Genomic DNA, 25,280 nt, shown 5'->3' with positions numbered 1-25,280 from the left:
CAGCATTTCCTAGAGAACAGGAATTTTACACATATGTGTTGTTCACAGCTAAGAGAAGCTAAAGAACTTTTGAATAACTTTTTAATCTTATATAACTCGCTCAATTATTTGCTGTATTTTGACATAAGTAGAGGTTTAAAAAATGATTTAGTATTTCAAATCTATAATTAATTACATAATAAAAACAAATGCTCCCATTGAAACTTCCATGATTGACTCTGAATGGCTGTTCCTTCACCACCTGCCAATTCTCCAGCATTGATGTCTAGACAGGTGGGCTTCCTTTCACAAACACTCCCAAATTCATAAAACAGATGGCCTAGGACTTAATTAAATATATTTTAATGTAACGCTCCTAATGCAGAAACTTATTACTAAATTTATTTATAAAGACAATTGCCATTAGAAGATTGAAATATGGCCTGTTTTAATAATAATATTTATGAGCAATTTTTCTAAAGTATGTTTAGATTAGGCCCAGGATTCTGGAAAGATGCTGATGATGGTAAAAGAAGCATAGTTTTTAAAAATGTCTTCAAATTCCCTCATATAAACAGCCAAGGTAACTGTTTAGTAAAACCAAAAAATGATGGACAATATTTATGACAAAATTGGTGACAAGGTGTCTCCACAACCCCAAAATGAACGTTGATGAGGCAAGTCAGCAGTAGCCAAAAGGCCTGCTTGGAATAAGTGTCTTCAGAGGAAAGCTCAGTGTGGCGTCTGAGAAACTGAGAACAGGTTAGCTCCGCACAGCAATAGATATTTACTAGAAGGCCCAGGCAGTCTGAGAACAGCAGCTGAAACTGGGAGGGTTTTCCTCACTCTAATAGCAAAGTGCACAAGGCTTATGGTCAATTCTAAACATGAGAGCAGTCTAGCCTCAGAGTTGGAGCAGTCTAGTTCTAAGGAATCTGAAAACCGAGACTTTAGGGCTCCTTTCTAGGACTAGACCTCACAGTGAGGGTTGGAGTCAAAATTGAGCGTGATAAAGATGATGGAAAGAAACGAAAAACATTCAAATGAAAGTGGATGTGTTTGTTTTCAAATTACTAGTGTAAAACACTGCCACAAATTTAGTGACTTGAAACAACATACGTGTATTTCTCACGGTTCTGCAGGTTAGCAGTCTGGGTGGGCCTGGCTGATTTCTCTGTTCTGAGTTTCACGAAGCACAAACCAAGGTATCAGCTGTCTGGGCTCTTATTGAGAGACTTTAGAAATAGTTCACTTCCATGTTCATTCAGGCTGATGGCAGAATGTTGTAGCATGTAGTTGAAGGACTGAGGTCTCTGTTTCCTTGCTGTCTGTTCTGGGGATCATTCTTAGCTTCTAGGGCCTGGCAGCATTCTCTGGTTCATGACTCTCTTCATCTTCAAAGCCAGCAGCAGTGTGGCCTTCTCACGTGGGTCCAGTTTTTATCATGTTTCCAATCTCTCTGATCTCTCATTCTGCCTTACGTCTCCTGCCTTCAGTTGGAGAAAGTTTTCTCTTTTTAAGGGCTCATGTGATTAGATTGAGTTTACATGGATAATCCAGGAAAATATCTCCAGACTTTATTTCATAGTCTATAACCTTAATTACATCTGCAGAGTCCCTTTTGCCATGTAACGTAACATACTTACAGGTTCCAGGGATTAAGGCACAGACATCTTTGGGAGACCATTCAGCCTCCCACACAGGATTTGGTTGAGGGGGTAAGGAAAGGGGCCACAGAGCCAGGAAGTCTTGGGAAGCAAAACTGCCGTACAAAAATGACAGAAGAGGGAGCTTTGTGACATTAGAAAGTTACCCTGGACTATGTACCTCCTAAAAATTCAAAGAAACTAATTTCACAGGAAAACAGGCAATAGAAAAGTATAGAAATAGCTTTTTCAAAATAAGCTAAAATACTTAAAAAAAGATGATGTAAGAGCAATATTCACCAGAATGAGAAAAATTCAGAAAGGAGGTAACAGAACTGAGGTATTAGAAATAAAGAACAAAAATCCACACAAGAGAGAAGAAACATACTAGAGAGTGCTAAGTAAAAAAATTTTAAAAATGAAGAGATTTTAAAAAGAATTAGAAAGTTAACAATTGTGAACAGGCAAAGAAGAATCAACATAAAGGTAATTGAGATCTATGGAAAAAAATTAAAAACAAAGCAAGAGGACAGAAAAATATACTAAGAACTGCAATCCAAGAAAACTGCTAAAAATATGTATACGCTTAAAACTACATATTGATGGTACATGGAATACCTAATAATATCAACCCAAATGACAAACATCAGACACATTCTAGTAAAATTACTCATTTTAAAGAGAAAATAATTTGGCATCTAAGCAAAACCAGTAGGTGAATTATAAGGCAAAGAAATGTAAATTATCATCAGACTTTTTTTTTTGACAGCAATGTTTTTTTGCTAGCAGAAAATGGAATAACATATTTAAGATACTCTAGGAAAGAAATATTAGACAATGATTTTTATATTCAGCAAACTGACATTCAAGTAGAAAGGGTGCAGATTAACTGTGAACAACATACAAGAACTCAGGGAAATAGTTCCCAAGATCCCTTCATGAAGAAGTTTCTAGAAAATGTGCCCCAGATGACCAAAATGACTAGAGAAACATCCACATAAGGCCATGTGGTAGCATTAAAGATGTAGTTACTTATAGAATTCAGACAAGTGTTTTTGAAAGAGAGAGAGTATAGTGTATATGGCCAAATGTTCAGACAGAATATGGTGTAACTACAAAAAAAAATACAAGGAGAAAAAAAATAAACCCATTCTCAGTAATTGCATAGGCAACAGTAGCATTAGTGTAACAGTGAGACTGTTAATGATTGTAATGTGGGATAAAGTAAATGAATATATGTGGAATATTCTATCATCCCTTGTGTCCTTGGGAATCAGGATTCTTGGTGTAGTTGAAAAAAAGGTATAATATAAAAGAGGTTAATGTAGTCTTGAATTTGGTTTTAAATTGGAAGTACTATTTTGAATATTATCTTAAAATTTTCTAAACAAAGTGCGGTTCAAAGTCTGCATTATCTTATCCCAAAGTACTCCAAATGTAGATGGCAGCACTATAACCCCAGAGGTTCAGTCCAGACACTTGGTAAACACATTTAACCTTTTACATCCTTAACTCTTTGCTCACAGCCAGTCTGTAAATCCTATCAATTCTACCTTTCCAAGATTTCTCAAATTCATCAACCCCTTTCCATCCTAATGGTGCCATCTCTCACCTGGAGTACCGCAATAGTCTCCTAACTGGTCTCCTTGCATCTAGTCTTGCTACCCTCCCATCTATTCCTCAGATTGCAAAGTATCTCTGCAAAACAGATCTGATTGCATCACTCCAGGTTTTAAACTCATCAATGACATCCCAGAATCCTAAGAATGGTACAGCGGCCTGAATGCTCTCGCCCCTGACTAATGACTGAGCCCAGAGAGGCATCATTCTCCTTTCAGCTCTCTGATCCCCCAGCCCTACTGGACTTTTGGCTCCTCAAACATGCTAGGATCTTAAGGGCCATGATATTAGTTATTTTCCCTTTCTGGAATGCTTTCTTCTCCCCTCTACTACATCTTACTTTTTCTTTGGTTTTCATCTTAAAAATCATTGTCTCCAGGAAGATTTTCCTGATTCCTACCCTAGAGTAGAGAATATACCTGCGAGTGTATCACATTCTGCAGTTCTTACCACACTCTGAGCACTTGCAGTTACATTTTCTTTTCTTTCTTTTTTTTTGGTGGGGGGGAGGGAGGGGCTGGGGGATCGAGTCTTGCTCTGTTGCCCAGGCTGGAGTGCAGTGGTGTGATCTCGGCTCACTGCAACCTCCGCCTCCCGGATTCAAGCGATCCTGGTGCCTCAGCCTCCCAAGTAGCTGGGATTACAGGCATGAACCACCAAGCCTGGCTAACTTTTGTATTTTTAGTAGAGACAGAGTTTTGCCATGTTGGCCAGGCTGGTCTCAAACTCCTGACCTCAGATGATCCGCCCATCTTGGCCTCCCAAAGTGTTGGGATTACAGGCGTGAGGCACTGAGCTTGGCCTGCAGTTACATTTTCAATGTCAGTTTTTCTCATCAACATGGAAGTTCCATGAAGAGAGAAGTCTGTCTGCTTATTTCCCACAGTTTCCCCATTTCCTAGCACATAGCAATGCTGATTAAATAAATATTTATTGAATGGATGAGGGAATTACTGTCTAAATAGACAGAATTGGAGCATTTTAAACAGTCTGCCATTTTCCTTGTTATTCTTTGCATTAATTAAAATCAAGCATGATGTCATCTATTTTATTTATAGGAATATTATTTAAAGGATATTCTCACATTCTATAGCCATTAATCTGGTTACCAACTTTTTGTTATTAAAATTTTTCCAGGTAGGTCATTTCATTTATCTACACAGTATTTTATTCTTTCCATCCTAACTTCTAACTCCAATAAAAGCTCATTGGTATGCCTAATCAATAGTGCTTTTATGCTCTGCTTTTATCAGACTAGACAAATCACAAAGGAGAAACAGTCTATTATCAGGGATTTTACTAACAAGTAAACAAAACTATTAAGTCATATCCTAGTCAGCCCAGTTTTCTGTATGTTCTATATTTGAGGTGAACATAAAGGTTCAGAATAATGACCCTATAGTCCTCTGAAGTTCTGTGTCATTAAAAAGACTCAGAAAGTTTGAAAGAGAAATAGACAAATATCTTTTATGAGTACTTTCAGTAACAAAGGTTAAAGCAAAAAAAAAAAATAATAATAAGATTAGGGAATAAGTGGGCTAGTAACTAAGGTATCCATAAAAATAAGTTAACTAGAACATGCTACTTCTGAGCATTCTGGAAAGTTTTTACCTTTACTTTTATGTTATTATACATTTCTTAATCACTTTGTCTCCTCAAATGCTTTGTGTTTTCTTCCTTCCTTCCTTCCTTCCTTCCTTCCTTCCTTCCTTCCTTCCTTCCTTCCTTCCTTTCTTTTCTTTCTGACAGAATCTTGCTCTGTCACCCAAGCTGGAGTACAGTGGTGTGACCTTGGCTCACTGCAACCTCTGCCTCCCAGGTTTAAGCGATTCTTGATCCTCAGCCTCCTGAGTAGTTGGGATTAGAGGCATGCGCTACCATGCCCAACTAATTTTTTTTTGTATTTTTAATAGAGACAGGGTTTTGCCATGTTGGCCAGGCTGTTCGCGAACCCTTGACCTCAGGTGATGTGCTCACTGGGCCTCCCAAAGTTCTGGGATTACAGGCATAAGCTACTACGCCCAGCCCAGTTTGTGTTCATTTTCTCATATAAATCTTGCAGGTTTATATGAACCATATACGTTTCTGATACGTAGAAATCTCCTAATAAACCTTTTAAAAAATTTTCTGAAATGCAGATTGGATTGAAACTTCACTCAGCTATGAAGTAGTTATGTTAAAAAGATGTGAACCATCTCTTGCTAAATGAACCACTACTTCTAAATATGTATCAGTTGTTATTTAGTCTTTCTTTTAATTAGGAATATATGGAGTTATTAATCTTTTATCTATAGTATTATGTAGTGACCTGGGTTTTTTTTTTTAATAAACTTCCTTGTCATTATCAACACATAATTCTAGGTGAATTCATTTGTTTTAGGATTATGTTTACACCAAATCCTTACTGTTATATCTTGAAATGATACTTTAGTGTGGGCAGTAGTAGTACAGATTGTATAAGAAGTGAAGGGGTACCAGTCGCAGTGGCTAATGCCTGTAATCCCAGCACAGTGGGAGGCTGAGGTGGGTCGATCATCTGAGGTCAGGAGTTCGAGACCAGCCTGGCCAACATGGTGAAACTCCACCTCTACTAAAAATACAAAAATTAGCCAGGCATGGTGGCAGGCACCTGTAGTCCCAGCTACTCAGGAGGCTGAAGTAGCAAAATCTCTTGAACCAGGGAGGCAGAGGTTGCAGTGAGCTGAGATGGCGCCACTGCACTCCAGCCTGGGCAACAGAGCAAGACTCCATCAGAAAGAGAGAGAAGAGAGGGAAGGAAGGGAGGGAAGGGAGGAAGGAATCGGGGCCCAGTTCAGTATCCATCATTGAGGAAGGATAAGAACAGAGGCAACTTCCTGATGGCAGAGCCTGATTTTGGAAGAGTGGCCTCCTGAGCTAGATGGAATGGGAGCTTCCAGACAGGCATATAGCACACAGCATCAAGGAACGTATTAATAGCTAATGTGGAGTTACAGGAGTGGATGATCATCAGCTGTAAGCCAATACATTATGGAGCCCTCAGTTGCCTGAGTGGGGCTGTGAATACATCAAACAAGCTGGCCTTTGATATTGGGCTGAGGTTCAGGGTAGGATTAAGTCCCAGAAGGGAATGGAATCCTAAGCAGAAAGCGAGTTAGAATAAAGGAATGGGGAGAAAGATAGAAGTCCCTGTTTATAAACTGAAATACCTTAAAAAAAAATAACGGCCAAAACTTAAGCAAAGCCCCAGTTAAATTTAGGAGTGACACCAAGATCCCAGTATGGTCAGGCTCTTTCTGCTATGACTCCCTGAACCTGACACTTGAGTTTCACTTGGCACTTCAGACCTACAACTCTGATATGGTTTGCATATTTGTCCCTGCCCAAAGCTCGTGTTGAATTGTTGTCTCCAATTCTAGAGGTGGGGCCTGGCAGGAGGTGTTTGGGTCATGGTGGCAGATCCCTCATGGCTTGGCACTGTCTTTGTGACAGTGAATTCTAGTGAGATCTGGTCATTTAAAAGTGTGTGGCACTGCCCCGCTTCCCCCTTCTCTGCAACCAAACTCTCTCTCTCTTGCTCCCATTCTTGCCATGTGATGTGCCTGTTTCCGCTTTGCCTTCCACCATGATTGGAAGCCTCGTGAGGCCTCCCCAGAGGTAGATGCCACTATGCTTCCTATACAGCCTGCAGAACCATGAACCAATTAAACTTCTTTTCTTTATAAATTACCCAGTCTCAGGTATGTCTTTATAGCAATGCAAGAACAGCATAATACAAACTCTTACTCCCATCTTTTTCACCCTGATCACCTCCCAAAGACTGAGCTTTATTCATTGTTCATTTTCTATATTCTCAATCCCATTTTTCTAAGTGCTTCCTCCACCCTGACCTTCTCGGTTTGTGGCTCACCATGGCACTGTTGAATGTCTAGCCATGCAGCTCAGCCAGCTCTGAGGTTCTGCGATGCTTTTTTTCTCAGGAGCTCAGAGTGGCTGCTGGCTTGGCAATGAATCCTTGGGGCAGCTGGGAGGAAGAAGGATCTGAGGCTGCCGCATAGTCTCAAGAACCTTTGTTCTTGGAAATCTGATGTACCTTCCCATTCACTGCCTCACCCTCTTAACTCCCCAAGTGACAGGGAGGGGAACAGCTTCTCCCTTTCTCCCACACTCCTCTGTCATGCTACTGGGTGCTCTTGGCTAATTCTTTCTCCTCCTCAAAGTATCCTTCTTATCAGCTGAATTTCACCAGCAAAACAATGTTGGCTGAGGGCTGGAGTCACACTTTTCATCAGACCTCTTCTCTTTACAGGAGTTGCTTAAATTCACTACATTGTCCGCTCCCAGTTACTTCCACCTCTTGGACAGTCCTGATGAACAGGCCATGCATCTTTCAGTTGTTCTCATGCCATGCTATGAGTGACCCTCATGCACACTGACCCTAGGCTAGGACTCAAAATCCTGGCAAATCATTTTTATTCCTGGATGCTTTTAGGAAAAGAATAAGATCTATCTCAAACTCAGGTTAGCTTCAATAATTTATAAAACAAAGTAAGATTTCCTCAAAGGTGGAGTGAGGCAGGCTTTAGGACACCAGATATGCATTTTATCTGGTTTCCAATTTTCTAAATAGCTGAACCAAATTCCACCTTGAAGGTGTGATTAAAGCCATAGCTTCAATGAGAAGATTTAGGTTTTGGATTTTTGCACTTATATAATTTTAGGGACCTTTGCTACAGTCTCTCCCAAGACTTGGAAAGAGACCTGTACCATTGAGATACTCTGAAGATTGAGTTACTTAGCTTCAGGATACATGTGCCCTTGGGTTCAACTGTACAATGTTGTTGCTTGATCTAAACCCTGGACTTGCTTTTGCTTCAGCACCATGAGTGATCTCATTTTGGTCCCTGTCCATCTAACTGTGCCTCTGCCTCAGGACACTTCTTGCCATGCCTGGAAACTGCTGAGCCGACACCTTCCCAAGTCTCCTTAACCAGCAATCTCTGCTATGGCTAAAACAGGCAGATAGGAGAGGGAGAGAATGCTTAGGGCGGTTCTACAATAAACCAGGAATGGGCTTTTGAACCTCAGTGGAGCAGAAAGAACGGGGAGAAGAGAGAATGAACTCGATTGGTTATAGAAGATACAAAAAAATGTAATATATAATGTCAATACTAACTGGAAGTGGGAACAATGGATGTGGAAAATTTGCTGATTTGGGCCTTGCATATTTAGATTGGGTGAAAATATGGTAGGCAGTAAAATAGTATTAAATACAAAACGCCTCAAATTGTGCCTGCTTCATTCATCCTATTCATAAGATTTGGGAAGAGTAATTAGCAAATAATCTTTCAGTAAAATCAGATATTCCCAGAATCAAGATTGTGAGTCAAATTCTTTTTTAGAATAAATGTTATGCATGATGTTCATATGTACTAATACAGTCTTTCCTATCTAGAAAAAGCAATACTGAATGCCTACCAAGATAAAAGGCAATGCATTTGCAAGGTTTAGGATGCAGACTTTGGGTCCAGACTTCCTGGGGTCAAGTCTCTGTTCCACCAGTAAGCAGCTATGCTACCAAGACAAAGTTATTTATACTCTTGTTCTTCAGTCTTCCCACTTGTAAAGTGCTGGTACTAATATCATGTACCTCATAGAGTTCTTATGGGGATTGAGTTTTTTCCCAGATTTATTAGGGTGTAATTGACAAAAATTGTATATATTCAAGGTATACGACATGATGATTTGATGTATGTATGCACTGGGTAATGATCATCACAATCAAAGTAATCAACACATCCATCACCACACATTGTTACCGGTGTGTGTGTATGTGTGTGTATGCATTAAGCAACATTAGGTTACTCTGTTAGCAAAGTTCAAGTCAACAATACAGTATTATTTACTATAGTCACCATGATGTACATTAGCTTCCCAAACTGAAAGTTTGTACCCTTTGACCAACACCTCCCCATATCCCCCACCCCCAGGCCCTGGCAATGCTATGTGTTTGACTTTCCAAGATTCTACATTATAAGTGAGATAATAAATTTGTCATTCTGTTTGGTTCTTTTTTATGATTTCTATTTATTTATTAAATATCTTATTTTGTGGATGCATTGGTTTTCTGCTTTTGTTGGGTCCCAGGGCTGATGGGATTGCCTCCAGATCACAGTTCGTGGTTGGCAGGCCTGTTACCAGGGGCTCGAGCTGGCGTGAATATTGTTTGGTCCCTGGGCAGACTGGACTTCCAGGATCTTGGTCAGTAGGGCTGGTACTGGTACAAGGGTCCACTTCAAGGTCTGCAGAAAATGGGCCTGTTACCAGGTCTGTAGACAGGTGTGGCTTCTTCTTGGTTCCTGGGAAGGGTCACTTGGTGGGACCCTGGGTGGGCAAGACTGGCCCCAGACTGCAGATAAGAGGAGCTAGAACTGAGTTACAGGGCTGCTTCAGGGTCTACAGCCCAGCCTCATGTCTCAGACCTGCCTCTGGAGGCACAGATGGGCGTATCTCCTGCCAGGTTCCTGGACAGGCAGAACTGATCACGGATCACAATTGAAGGGCACTGGAGACAAATTTCTGAGCTGTCGTAGGATCTGCTGTGGGATGGAGTTCAGCAAGCCTGCTTCCCAGGGTACATACAGTGTGACTCCTGGCAGGTTCCTGGGTGGGCAGGACTGCATTCAGACTGCAGTTTATAGGGGCTAGAGCCAAGTTAGAGCTTTTTCAGGGTCTGCTATGGGACTGAGGGTAGCAAGCCTACTTCCCAGGGCACAGATGGGTGTGTCTCCCAGCAGGTCTCTGGGCAGGCATGATTGGTCTCAGACTAGATGAGGGGCTAGAGCTGAGTTACAGGGGTACTTCAGCGTCTGCTGCCAGGCCTGTGGGTGGTGGACCTGTCACTTTAGGCATGGGTGAGCATGACTCCTCCTTGGAGGATGGTTCTGGTGGCAGGACCAAGGTGAAACAGGATTGTAGCTGGGTCCACAGGGGATGCGTTCATTTTTGATCAATGGCTTACTCCATAGTCAGCAAAATTGCCACCCAAGTGTGGGCCTGCCCTATTAAAATGAGCCTCCTTGGTTTTGGCCTATACCAGAATTTTAACATCTGCTCCCTAGATCCCAAAGCTCCCACTGAGGCACTTCTATCAGTGGATGGCTGCCAAATGCTTCTTGCTGTGTGGGTATATGAGCAGGGGGCCTCCTATTCCATTATCCTGCCAACTGTGATTGACTTATTATTTATAAAAACATGTTTAAAATTGTACCTGGCCTGTACATAGGAAGCAGTATCTGTATTTCATAAATAAGTGCATTTTTTAAGGTCCCCCCTAATTCCAAGATTATCAAATTCTGTAGGACGATCTATTCTAGCCAGGCTTTAGCATTGGTTTACTGTGCATTCAGATGATTCTGCATTAAAACAAACAATTTTGAAGTACTATGTATGTCCGAAGTCCTAGTTAAAGGGCAAGAGATCACTCAGTGCACGCTCGTGCTTTTATCTAGGCAATTTAATTCTTTTTATGAAGCAGCAGCATCTCCTGTTTCCCTTAGGGGAGTGTTCCAAAGGCAGGAGCTTTCATTGCCAAGATGCTGCCCTGATATTTAGCCTAGACTCTGATTTCTTCTATGTCTCACCATCCCTCCTAGTTAATCGACTATATATGCATTATCCTACTCCCATCCTCAGGAGCAGATATTGGGCAGTGAACTCCCTTCATCCTTTCTGATCTTTCTAGGCTTTTAGTGAAGTTTGAAGCTTTTCTGAACTGTTTGATCTGTGAACCCCTGTGTCACAAAATGAAGTCTTGTGGATCCAGAAGTCTTTATTTAAAGTATGTGGGAATTCCTTAGAAAACACACTTAGTATTTCTTACTTTCAACTCACATTCAGTTCATGAGTTGTTCAAAGGAGAAAAATGGTGTCTATCCACTGTTCATGTCTCCTGCTTGCTAATGTGGCTGTGCATTCATTAGTTGGAATTTTCCAGAATATATGGCTTGGGAAGAATCATTAATATTTTCATGATTCCAGATGCCGATTGGCCTGTAGTATTTTTTACAGATTATTTCTTCATACGCATTCTTAAGTCAACTTAGCCTTCCAGAAAACATCTAAGAATCTTTCAGTCTGTTGAAATTCCATTTGGCCCAATGAATTTTTATTGGTGCAATTAATTCTTACCTCATACTGCTAAGCATGTTTATGTTTTTCAGATATGCACAGGCTAAGAAAGTACCACATGGCAAAGGTGATGGTCCTGCATCTGCACAGATTTCTATAAGAGAAAGCAGACTACACATAAGAGTTAGTACAAGCAATAATACAATAGTAATATACACATTTATTGAGTGCATATTATGTGCAACTCTATATAATGTGTTGCCTCATGTAATATAGATGCCAATAACCCTCTAAAGTAATATCTGTTTAAAGATAATTTTAAGTATTTCATAATAGATCATATCAAAAAATAAGATCATATTGTATATATTAAGCTTTGTGCAGTGACAGTGCCAATGAGGTTTGCAATGTGTAGGCAATGAGGTTTATCCAAGGCACAATATTGCTGATTGAAAACTCTTCCCGTATTGCATATACCACCTTATGATCTACTTTGTTTTTCCAGGTCCAATGTGGCAGACAATTTTCCATGTCAGTATCTTAAGTTCTAATGATTAGATAATACTCCACTAATCTGACTTTTACCTTTCCTATTACACATTCTTTAAGATAGTAAAGAATATGTAAATTTAACATAGATTTATTTATTCATATTGATAGACATAAATCTGTTTATAGATATGGATATACAGATAGACATAGACAAATATATATATATATTTTTTTGAGATGGAGTCTCACTCTGTCACCTAGGCTGGAGTGCAGTGGCACGATCTCGGCTCATTGCAACCTCTGCCTCCCGGGTTCAAGCGATTCTCCTGCCTCAGCCTCCTGAGTAGCTGGGATTACAGGTGCCCGTCACTATGCCCAGCTAATTTTTTTAATTTTTAGTAGAGACAGGGTTACACCATGTTGGCCAGGCTGGTCTCTAACTCCTGACCTCATGATTCGCCCACCTTGGCCTCCCAAAGTGCTGGGATTACAGGTGTGAGCCACTGTGCCTGGCTGACAAAAATATTTTACACTCCATCACATTCCAGAAAATGTTTGTACTATCATGAATTTTATCAGAACTATAGGAAAAAAAATCAATTATTTAGTTGCTTTATTTTAAAATGTCTTTCTGCAAATAACTTTATAAAGTTGATTAGCAAAATTCAAATTTTATACCATTGTTTTTATAAAGCCTTCAAAATGTCCATGAAAAGAATTAAATAACATGCATGTGTGCACACCACCCCCCAACCACACACACTTCACAAATGCCTATAATCTCCTGTTAACCTAGGATACGGTATTGGAACTGTGTCATCAAAAATGTAAATTTTGAAATCCGTATTTCCTTGAATGTTATGTAAGAACACTTACTAGCCCAGTCAAATCATTATGGGCATAAAATGATCAAGCAAAAGACTTGCTTCATTAAATTATTAAGTGTCCTAGAGGTTTGTATTATAATTAAATATAGTGATTTCAAGTATTGTTTTTCAAGCTTCAGAGTAATTAGTGAAAACATAAACATATTTAATCAAGACTTGGAGGCAGTAATTCAACAGAGCCTTGTCAAACCAAGAAACCCTATTTGGTATTTAACAGGGTGTATACATTTCAGAGGTAAATAATATATTGCAGTAAATGATAAAAAAATAGAAATTTTATTCCTGAATAAATAATTAAAATTGTTCATATTGCCAGCATGTTTTTCTTCTCCAGTGTTAGTAGTGTGCTTTATAAAATAGTACACAGCCTTGCAGCTATATAATATTTTTTGAAATTGTAGTCTTGTTAATTCATTAAACATTTATGTATACAGTGAATAGTATTGCTCACTGGAAACATGACTGGATCAGATATACTTTAAAAATACATTTTCTATTGTCCAGGAACTAAGACTATTTAATTTTTTTTTTTTTTTTTTTTTTTTTTTTTTTTTTTTTGAGACAGTCTCCTTCTGTCACCCAGGCTGGAGTGCACTGGCGCAATCTCAGCTCACTGCAAGCTCCGCCTCCCGGGTTGACGAGATTCTCCTGCCTCAGCCTCCCGAGTAGCTGGGATTACAGGCACCCGCCACCACGCCCAGCTAATTTTTTGTGTATTTTTAGTAGAGACGGGGTTTCACTGTGTTGGCCACACTGGTCTCACACTCCTGACCTCGTGATCTGCCTGCCTCGGCCTCCCAAAGTGCTGGGATTACAGGTGTGAGCCACTGTGCCCAGCCAAGACTATTTAATTAAATCATCTTCTGATGTTCAGAAAATTCTGGAAAGGATTTATATACACAAATAAAGAGAAAGTTTAGGAATAACACATCTGAAAAGATTCACTCAGTAAGAAAACAACTATACTTATTGATCTTGACTTTAAAAGAAGGAAGAGAAACTAAACTATGCCAAAATTTATTTTTTTAAGTTCAAAGCATGTATCTTATAGAAAAGTTTCTGAGGTCAGAAAATGTGCCATATTTAACTTAATGTTCAGCATGTAATACCATTTCGCATGGATATCGACACTGAGAGTTTCTGTAAGAATAACAGTGGTCTTCTCTCTACTGGAGGAAACAGTTCCATTCATTAGAGGGGTCTGCATCATGCCTATGAGTGGTCATTGTTAAAAAGAGAAGGACAAAGAGAGAGAGAGAGATTCATATTTATACCCTTTCATTAATGTACATATATGCAACTCTTCAGGTGCCAGAAATTGCATGAGGGACTGGAAACAAGACACATCTCTTGCCCTCTTGGAATCTGTTTTACCGTGTAATTAAAATATACTGTGATAAGCACTCTGCAATGAGGGCTATGAGTACAAAGGACTGTGGATCCCAAAGAAAAGGAGCTGCCCCGCCCATCCTATGGAATCAGGGAAGGTTTTCCTGATGTGTTCTCTTAGTTCCTGCTGGCGATGCCTCCTTTAGGCCACCACTGTGGCTTGTAGCCATAGTCTCTTGCCTGGTCATCCTGCTTCCTGACCCTGATCCTCTCAACTTCAAATATGATTTAGAAGTTTTCAGTGTCTCCACATTATGCTCAGGATAAAGTACAAACATTGCATCATAACTCAAAAGTTTCTTCATGACTGGCTGCCCTTTCCCTCCATCTTAATCTCTAGCTACCCTGTTGTACTTGACTGTCAAAGTGTATCAAAATACTTTGAGTTCCAAAAACGTGTTACGTTCTCTCTTAACTTCTGCCTTTTGTTCATGCACTCCCAAGTTCTAGAATAGTCTCTTTCCTCTTACTGAACATTTACCTGGCTAATTCATACTCATCCTGTAGGTCTCAGTTTGTATCTGTTCATCCAAGCCAGAACTATGAGTGTTGTCCTAGTCTCTTCCCTTTACTTCCTCCTTTCCATTCAATTCATCACCATGTCCTGAAAATTCTAAGACTAAGCATCTTTGCTGTCGGTTATTTTTAAATTTCTCCTACTTATTACAATAAAACCACACAGTTGGTATTTATGTTCCTCTTTTACAGGTGGTGAAACTGAAGCTAAGAGATATTAAGTTAGTCACTCAAGATCACACTCTTAATAACTCATAAGCTAGGATTCGAGCCAAAGTCCATTTGACTCCAAAGCCAAAATGCTCTACCACCTTGCCTTTCCATTGCCAGAGATATGCTAATGACCATTACATGCTTGTTCCAAAACAATAGTACTTTGATACTTTTCATTTTGTTTAATTGTTTCTTCCATGGTTATGAAAAAATCAGTGGCTAATGTAACTGGCACCAGACTTTTAAACATATTCATCTCTTCAACAATTCCTTTAAGATTTCTACTTAACGCAAAGGCTATTTTAAGTGAGGCAATGAGACTTGATTGATTGTTGCTACTTTATTTCTAAGGCATAGAAATGGAGAAATAGTTGGAAAGTGAATTGAAGCAGCATTACATTTTGTATCAAGGAAAAATGTATTATTTATAAAGTATTGCAGGCACACTGTAGGAAATTCATAAAATAATGACACAAAACAAGTGAAAGATAAAATCACCTGTACTTATTCCTTCCATGGATAACACTGCATCAAATTTTGCTGTCTATTTTTCTTAAATGAAGTCTATGTATCATATTGTATACAAACATATCATACCACCTACTACCTACTACTCACTGTTTTGATAAATGGGGAATATTGACATGGAAAAAACAGAGTGCTGAAATCAAAGTTCTTGCAGCATGGTAGAATTATATTTAACGGTAGAATTACATTTGTGATTTAAATACATTTAAATTTAAGGGATAAAAATGGCCTGGGCCGGGCACAGTGGCTCATGCCTGTACACTTTGGGAGGCCGAGATGGGTGGATCACGAGGTCATGAGATCGAGACCATCCTGGCTAACATGGTGAAACCCCGTCTCTACTAAAAATACCAAAAAATTAGCTGGGCATGGTGGCAGGCGCCTGTAGTCCCAGCTACTCGGGAGGCTGAGGCAGTAGAATGGCGTGAACCTGGGTGGTGGAGCTTGCAGTGAGCCGAGATCGTGCCACTGCACTCCAGCCTGGGTGACAGAGTGAGACTATGTCTAAAAAATAAAAAATAAAAAAATGGCCTGATTGAGACTGAAGCCACTGCGTCTCCATTTGTTGGTAAATTCACTTAAGGGACCTTGATCAACCTATAATCCCAAATTTGAAAATGGAAGGCTGTTGTGAATACAAAAAGTAAAATGAATGAGAGGCTACTTTTACATTGGAGGAATGTGGACTAAACAATGGGATGTAGGCAGCTGAGTATGTATGGGTAATCCTGTGTTGACTTTGACAAAGACAATGGCTATTCCTCTCAGAGGAATGCCTCCTAAATTAACAGCCATTATAATTTTAAAACCACAGAAGAATCAGGGTGAGAGGAATAACAGGGGACAATATGTTTTACTAAAATGTAGGCAGGGAAAAGAGCAGAAAATTTCACATGAATCACCATCTCCATTCTGAATCATTTTTTGCAATAATAGAAAAATTTTAAAACAACCTTGTTTCCTACTTGTATGTACATGCATTAAATGATGACTGTAAGTGAAGCAAAGTATTTGAGTAGAGATTGGATATATTTTATCTCAAATGTAGAACCACTGAAATGGTTTAGTCTTTTTCAATTTGCTGTATTCAATTTCAGCTAACAATAAGTATCTGTGAAATGAACTCCTGTCTAAACTAAGAGAAAATGTGGAATTCTTGCTTTTTTACTCTCCAGTGAAGTTTGAAATTGGTTTCTTCCAAGATTTAGTCTACAAAGTTTAGTGTAATCTATATTTTATTTCTGCTATTATTGATTTAAAATGTTTTATAAGAAAGAGAAAATTACAGATAGTTGAAGACAATGGCAACTGTTCAGTTCCATTTTCTCATATATCTTAGAAATGATATAGACTAAGAAAGGAGAAGTAAAACTTCACAGGTGTCATGCCCATGGCATAACTTGAAGACAGAGAATCACCAATTTCAAAATAACTGTGACCAGTAAAAGAAAAAACTCTGTTAAATCCTAATGCAGATCTCTCATCCTCCTGCTCCTTGCTTTCACTCTGACCTGTTTTGGGACAAGTAAAGACAGCTAGTGAACAGCCACAGGTTGGTCTAAAACCACTGCCAGAAAGACTCAGTTTACCTTAAATCTGAAGAATACTAAAAAAGTGCCTTGGTAGATCAGAGCATGAAGAGTAAGGGTTCTTTGTTTTGATGATGCCCAATTTGCCAAATTTTTAAATTCATGGGATCATAATTTTGGTGTCATATCTAAAAGTCCTTTGCCCATTCAAGCTGTCAAATGTATAGGCATAAATTAGTCCACAATATACTATAATCCTGACATCTCTAGACTCTGTGATGGTATCATCTCTCTCATTCTTGGTATTGGCTATTTGTGTTTTCTATCATTTTTGTTTCTGCTTAGTCTGATAGAGCTTTACAAATTTTATGGATTTTCTCAAATAATTCTATTGTAATGCTGGCACTGAAGCTATGCCTAACATTTCCTTGCAGACATAGATACATAGGTTATTTCTATGCATGCTTTCATGCATTCAACAGATATGTGCTGAGAACCTAACAGGTGCAGGCCCTGTTTTATGCACTGGGAATATTTTGGGGGAAAATAAATGCTTTCATAGAACCTACATTCTTATGAAAGAGACAAACAATAAACAAGATAAATAAGTAAAATGTACAGATGTTAGTGATAAGATGAAAAAAATAAAGAAGGGAATGTAAACCTGGAATGTTAGAGGTTGAGATTTTACTTTTAAATAATAACCAGGGAAGGCCTTAGTGAGAAGGTGACTGTGTTAGTCTGTTCTCACATTGCTATAAAGAACTACCTAAGACTGGGTAATTTATAAAGAAAAGAGGTTTAATTGACTCACAGTTCTGCAGGCTGTACAGGAGGCATGGCTGGGGAGGCCTCAGGAAACTTACAATCATGGTGGAAGGCAAGGCGAAGCAGGCACATCTTACATGACCAGAGAAGGAGGAAGAGAGTGAAGGGGGAGGTGATATACATTTTTAAACAACAGATCTTGTGAGAACTCACTCACTATCATGAGAATAGTAAGGGGAATATCCATACCCATATTTGATCACCTCCTACCAGGCCCTTTCTTCAACACTGGGCATTACAATTCAACATGAGATTTGAGTGAAGACACAAATCCAAACCATATTATTCTGCCCCTAGCCCCTCCCAAATCTCATGTCCTTCTCACATTGCAAAACACAGTCATCCCTTCTTAATAGTCCCCCAAGTCTTAACTAATTTCAGCATTAACTCAAAAGTCCACAGTTCAAAGTCTCATCTGAGATAAGGCAAGTCCCTTCAGCCTATGAGCCTGTAAAGTAAACAAAAAGTTACTTACTTCCAAGATGCGACAGGGGTACAGGCATTGGGTAAATACATCTGTTCCAAAGGGGAGAAATCAGCCAAAGGGAGGAGTTACAGGCCCTGTACAAGTCTGAAACCCAGCGGGGCAGTTATTAAATCTTAAAGATCCAAAATAATCTCATTTAACTCCATGTCTTACATTTAGACCATACTGATGCATGGGGTGAGCTCCCAAGGCCTTGGGCAGCTTTGCCCCTATGGCTCAGCAAAGTTTAGTTCCCATGGCTGCTCTCAAGGGCTGGTGTTGAGTGCCTGTGGCTTTTCCAGGTTCACAGTGCAAACTGTCAATGGATCTACCATTCTGGGGTCTGGAGGATAGTGGCTGTCTTCTCACAGCTCCACTAGGCAGTGCTGCAGTAGGGACTCAGTGTGGGGGCTCCAACCTCACATTTCCCCTTAGCACTGTCCTAGTAGAGGTTCCTCATGAGGGCGCAGCCCCTGCAGTAGACTTCTGCCTGGACATGGAATAGTTTCCATACATCCTCTGAAATCTAGACAAAGGCTTCCAAGCCTCAACTCTTGCCTCTGTGCACCTGCAGGCTTATCATGACATGGAAGCCACCAAGGCTTATGGTTTGCACCCTCTGGAGCAGCATCCTAAGACATATCTGGGACCCTTTCAGCCGCAGCTGGAGCTGGAGTGGCTGGGAAACAGGGAGCAGTGTCCTGAGGTTGCACAAGGAAGCTGGGTCCTGGGCCTGGCCTACGAAACCATTCTTCCCTCCTAGTCCTCCAGGCTTGCGATAGAAGGGGCTGTCACAAAGGTCTCTGAAATGCCTTTGAAGCATTTTCCCCATTGTCTTGGCTGTTAACATTTGGCTCCTCTTTACTTATGCAAATTTCTGCAGCCAGCTTTAATTCCTCTCCTGAAAAATGGGTTTTTCTTTTCTACACAGGGTCAGGCTGCAAATTTTCCAAAGTTTTATGCTCTGCCTCCCTTTTAAATATAAGTTCCAGTTTCAGATCATTCCTTTGCTCATGCATATGAGCAAATGCTGTTAGAAGCTGCCAGGCTACATCTTGAATGCTTTGCTGCTTAGAAATTTCTTCCATTAGATACCCTAAATCCATCACTCTGAAGGTCAAAGTTCCACAGTCCCCTAAGGCAAGGGCACAGTGACTCCAACCTCTTTGCAAACGCATAGCAAAAGTGACCTTTACTCCAGTTCTCAATAAGTTCCTCATCTCCATCTGAGACCACCTTAGCCTGGACTTCATTGTCCATATCACTATCAGCATTTTGGTCACAACAATTTAACAAGTCTCTAGGAGGTTCCAAATCTTTCCTCATCTTCGTGTCTTCTTCTGAGCCCTCCAAAACAATTTAACAAGTCTCTAGGAAGCTCTAAACCTTTCCTTATCTTCCTGTCTTCTTCTGAGCCCTCCAAACTGTTCCAACCTCTGTCCATTACCTGGTTCCAAAGTTGCTTTTACAGTTTTAGGTATCTTTATAGCAATGCTGTACTTCTCTGTTACCAATTTTCTATATTAGTTTGTTCTCACATTGCTCTAAAGAACTACCTGAAACTCAGTAATTTATAAAGAAAAGAGGTTCTGCAGGCTGTACAGGGAACACGGCTGAGGAGGCCTCAGGAAACTTACAATTGTGGTGGAAGGCGAAGGGGAAGCAGGAACTTCTTACATAGCCAGAGAAGGAGGAAGAGGGTGAAGCGGGAGGTGAGACACACTTATAAACAACCAGATCTCATGAGAACTCACTCACTGTCACGAGAATGGAAAGGGGAAAATCCACCCCCATGATCTAATCACCTCCCACCAGGCCCCTTCCTCAACACTGGGGATTACAATTCAACATGAGATTTGGGCAGGGACACAAATCCAAACCATATCAGTGACTTCTCAGTAAAGAAATACCTGAATGAATTGAGAGTGTGTGCTCAGGTATCAGGATAAGAGCTTCCAGGCAGAGGGTAGAGAAAAGTGCAAAAGCACAAGCAAGCTTGGTACATAGAGGATGAGCAAGCAGATCAGTGTGGCTGGAGCAGAGAGACTGAGTGAGGGAGTCAGAGAGTTAAGAGAATTAGTACAGGTGAGATTGTACTGATTATCTTAACTCTCTGACCCCCTCACTCAGTAAAGATCAGATTGTGCCAGGCCTTTCAGGTCATCGAATCTAGATCTAGTATCTAGATGCCTGGACTGGGGTGGTAGCAAGAGGTGTTCAGATTCTGGATACATTTTGAGATACAGCTCAGAATTTTGAAAAGTAAGCAGGATTTCCTGATTAAATGGTTTTGGAGTACGAAAGAAAGAAGCCCAGGACACCACCATGATTTTTTTTTCTGAGTAACTAGAAAATTGGGGTGCCACTAGCTGACATAAGGATCAAGATGGGTGAAGCAGATATTGGAGAGAACATCATTTTGTAGCATGTTTTCACCAAGTTCTCACCTGACTAGGTTATTTAGCTTAGTCTGTGTCCTCAAAGCGGTGGAAAATGAAGGTAAATATTCCACTTAGTTAAAACAGAGAAATAGAATTAAATGTTGTATTAACTGGAAGGGTCCTTAGAGGTTGCTTTATTTATCTTATTTGATTTTTTAAAATTATTTTTAAAAATTTTTGTGGGTACATAGGTGTATATATTTATGGGGTACAGGAGATGTTTTGATACAGACATGCAGTGTGAAATAAGCACATCATGGAAAATGGGGTATCCATCCCCTCAAGCATTTATCCTTTGAGTTACAAACAATTCAATTACATTCTTCACATTATTTTTAAATACACAGTTAAGTCATTATTGACTATGGTTAACCTATTGTGCTATCAAATAGTAGGTCTTACTCATTCTTTCTTCTTTTTTGTACCCTTAACCATCCCCAACTCGTCCCAAACCTTCAGTACCCTTCCCAGCCTCTGGTAACCATTCTTCTACTCTCTGTGTCCATGAATTCAATTGTTTTAATTTTTAGCTCCCACAGATGAGTGAGAACATGCAAAGCTTGTCTTTCCGTACCTGGCTTATTTCACTTAACATAATGATCTCCACTTCCATCCATGTTGTTGCAAATGCCTGGATCTCATTCTTTTTTATGGCTAACTAGTCCTCCATTGCGTATAAGTACCACATTTTCTTCATCCATTCATTTGTTGATGGACACTTAGGTTGCTTCCAAATCTTAGCTGTTGTAAGCAGTGCTGCAACAAACATGGGAGTGCAGCTACCTCTTTGATATACTGATTTCCTTTCTTTTGTGTATATACCCAGCAGTGGGATTGCTGGATCATATGGCAGCTCAATTTTTAGTTTTTTGAGGAACCTCCAAACTATTCTTCATAGTACCAATTTACATTCCCACCAACACTGTACAAGGGTTTCCTTTTCTTCACATCCTCACCAGCATTTGTTATTGCCTGTCTTTTGGATATAATTCATTTTAACTTGGGTGAGATGACATCTCATTGTAGTATTGATTGGCATTTCTCTGATGATCAATGATGTTAAGCATCTTTTCATATTTCTGTTTGCAATTTGTATGTCTTCTTTTGAGAAATTTCTATTCAAATATTATGCCTATTTTTCGATTAGATTATTAATTTTTTTTCCTGTATGGTTGTTTGAGCACTTTATATATTCTGGTTATTAATCCCTTGTCAGAGGGGCAGTTTGCAAATATTTTCTTCGATTCTGTGGGTTGTCTCTTTACTTTATTGATTGTGTCCTTTGCTGTGCAGAAGAGAGATTACTTTAAAAGCAAGGAAACAGAAGACCAAAGAGGGCAAATGATGCTTTTCTTTCAACTGAAATGGTGGCAAAAATCTGGCTGATTCTATTGATTAAGTTCCACAATAACATCTCATGAGCAGATATACCAGTATATCACAACTCTGAGCTCCAGCTAAGATCTGAGGATTATTGACTCAAACAACTTTTTAATCTAGGCCAATTCTTCTGCTTTCATTGGCCACAGTATAAATGGGAACAAATTTAACACCAGCTATGGGAATATCTAGAGAACAATATGTTGTTTATTGAACTGGATCTTCATCATAAGAAAATTCTCCTTAACAGGACCAGAAACTAATTTCCTTTCAATAACATTTGTTTTTAGGTAATAGCATTTTGGAATAAAAATGATCTAACAGCTGAGGGTTCTAAGTAGCTGTTTAACATTGGGCAAGTTAGTTTGTATCTTGGTTTCTTCAGGTAGAAATTAACTATATAATTAATAATTTTTATATATTCCCTCCTCTAGAAAAACTTAAAGCAGTTACTTGAAAAGTGATAAGGTTGAAACAATTTTAAATACCCTTCTGGAACTTAAAACTTGTGGTTCTATCATTATTACTTTGGTGGGTAAAGTGGAAGTAATGCAGAAATGTATTCCATGCATGCAAACACTTAAATAACTAGCATTCAGTCAGTGACTAATGGCAGTAATAAAGAATCACCGAGTAGGATACATAGAGGAAACATGAGCCTTCGGCAGAGTTCTCAAATTTAAATTTACTAGCATAGGAATAAAAAGACAATTAGTAAAAATGGTTTGAGTTATATCTGTAAAGACTGAAAACAAGCATTCTTAGCATAAGAGAAAAAGGGTAAGATAAGAATAATTTGTCCGTGGAAAATAGAACTTTTCTTTCATGTTATACCAAAACACCAGGGCTTTAGTCAACTAGATTTGCTTTATGGTGTACCAAAGCAATGGCTTCACTAGTTTGACTGAATTTGTTTTCCTTTTCACCTTCCTTTAGGGAAGTCATATAACTTTTATAGCTTGAACATACTATTGTAAGTAGAGGCACATTGATCACATCTCTGAAAACTGAATACAGCTGCAAATGGATATAGACAAATTCCATTCTGGTTCAACATAATGGGTAGCTTTCCAGCTACTGGCTGTTCATATTATGTAGCTTTCAGCGTAGTTCAGTGTTTTGCTTTTGTAAAATTGGTTTTAAAAAAATGTGGGCAAAAGGGGAAACATGGCAAAAAACCTTGATTGACAGCCTTACTCCTAAAGGCAATGTGGAAGAGTTCAGTGAGGGTGAGCCCTCTCTCGCCTCTGAGGTAATGTGTTCTGACCTGCTCTTTTATAGCAGAGAAGAGAGTAGACAGCAGCAGATGCATGGCCAGATGCCCTGCTGGCTACTCGGCTAGCTGCTGCAGCTCTGAGGAACCCTGCGTTCCCAGGATGAAATTCATGGTCACCCCCTGAGCAACCTACAGGGGCTCTTGCAAACTCTCAGGGAAGCTGGAGCCAGATAATGAACCACAGGTTCTGCTCTGCTTATCTCATGTTAGGAGCCTTCCTCTAAGAATATAGCAGTGGCAGTATTTCCCTTCCTTATTCTACCAAGTTTGTGCTAAGTACTTACTTTTTTTGAGCTAATTTGTATTGTTTAGGGCATGCAAAGATGGAAAAGCTATAAAAAATAAGAGAGTGCTTAACATAAAAACCAGATAATGGTTGGTCGTTGGGGTTCAGGGGAAGATAGTAATTTAAATAGGCACACAGAGGTCTTTAAAATGATCAGCGATCACATTCTTAAGTGGGGATGGGTAGGAAAATGGTGTTAATTTTGTTATTAATCTTAAAATTGTAGTTCTTTTCAGCATGTGTGCGTCACAATAATAAAAAATAAGATTTAAGAAATGAAATAGGACATCTGCAAACCTAGGTTTACAGTCTTGCCTTACCATGCATTGCTAGCATGAACTTAAGAGGGAAGTTTCTATGTATCAATCAGTTCATAACTAATCCTAGGTATTGTTGAAATCCACAAATTTTCACAGTTTTTGGGGAGGGGATATTGAAACTCTGCTTTTTTTTTTTTTTCCCAGCTGCATTTTAAAAGAAATTCAGAAAACAAAAGCCCCCAAACATTTTTCCTTATATATGCCATGCCTGTTCAGGAGTGATCTCCAAACATTTCCTCATGTAGTGAAATAACAAAGCCAACCTCACCAAATGCCGTGAAAATTAAATAAAATAACACCTATAAAGTTATTTGGTCATAGTAAAAACTTTTAATAAATATCAATTTCCATCCTCCTAGCCTTAGTGAAATTAATTTAATATATGTGTACCTACAAGTTTATATAATATTTTTATTGATAAAGCTAGAGAAACAGGGCTAAATATATAGTAAACTTATAATTTACTTGACATGATTAGTATACTCAAAATCAAACTCCATCAAATTGCTATATTTCATTTTTACTTAGGGTGGATAAGTACATTTCACTTTATGACAAGTAAAAATTTGTTTAAAATACTGTGAAATTCTAATTTTTAAAAAGTTTCTTGAAATGGAGTAAAATAATTTGAGAAACTCCTAAAAACTGTGACAAACTAGGGTGCTCTCCATTCGTTTTTCTTTTCATGTTGCTTTTTTATTCATTTGTAGATGCATAAAACATTTTGTGTCTGGCTCTGTGCTTGGCACAGGAATTCAATGATAAGTTCAGGTTTAAAGAATATAGGTAAGAAGGGAAAGGGAAATATATAGTCACAGATGAAGGTATAAGAATAGAATACACTTCAAGAATAGTGGCAGCAAAACAAAGCACAGAGTATTCCGAAGATTAAAAACATAATGCCCATTTGGCCATGTTGACATCACAGCAAGGGAAAAAACAAACGAACAAAAAAAACAAACGAGGTCAAACTGTGTTCTTTGGACACATGGTGCAGATGTAACAGCTGGCATTAAAGGAAGAGAAGCCATTTAATGATTTCTTAGTTTCTATCTCCTTTATTAAGCAGCACATCTTCAAACTGGAAAGTCTTGAATAATTATGATTAAGAAGGATTTAAAGTCCATGACAGATGAGGCATTGAATTACCTTAAGCAGAATTCCACAAATCACCAATTTCATAGTAACCCTAACAGGTAACTGCTATCCTTGATGCTGTTCCCTTTCCATTTTTACAGTTAAGGAATCCGAGGCTCAGAGGGATGACACAGGTAGTAACTGACAGAGTAAGGATTCCCAACTCAGCATGTCTTTCTTTAAAGCTTTGTTCTTCCAAATATTTTGCAAGGTTCCCCCAAAGTTTTCTCAAGTTTAG

At 39.1% G+C, this 25,280-nt stretch overlaps 1 protein-coding gene and 1 non-coding gene across 6 annotated transcripts in view; both read left to right on the top strand.

The window, feature by feature from the left end:
- Positions 1–25,280, top strand: part of TRPC6 (transient receptor potential cation channel subfamily C member 6) — a 132,444-nt gene that overhangs the window by 43,855 nt on the left and 63,309 nt on the right. The gene's annotated exons all lie outside the window — the stretch shown is intronic.
- Positions 20,248–20,333, top strand: MIR3920 (microRNA 3920). The gene has a single exon (NR_037485.1). It is a non-coding gene; the product is annotated as a microRNA 3920 (primary transcript).

Source organism: Homo sapiens, chromosome 11, assembly GCF_000001405.40.
Source record: "Homo sapiens chromosome 11, GRCh38.p14 Primary Assembly".
NCBI lineage: Eukaryota > Metazoa > Chordata > Mammalia > Primates > Hominidae > Homo > Homo sapiens.
This window is presented reverse-complemented; position numbering and strand designations above follow the sequence as displayed.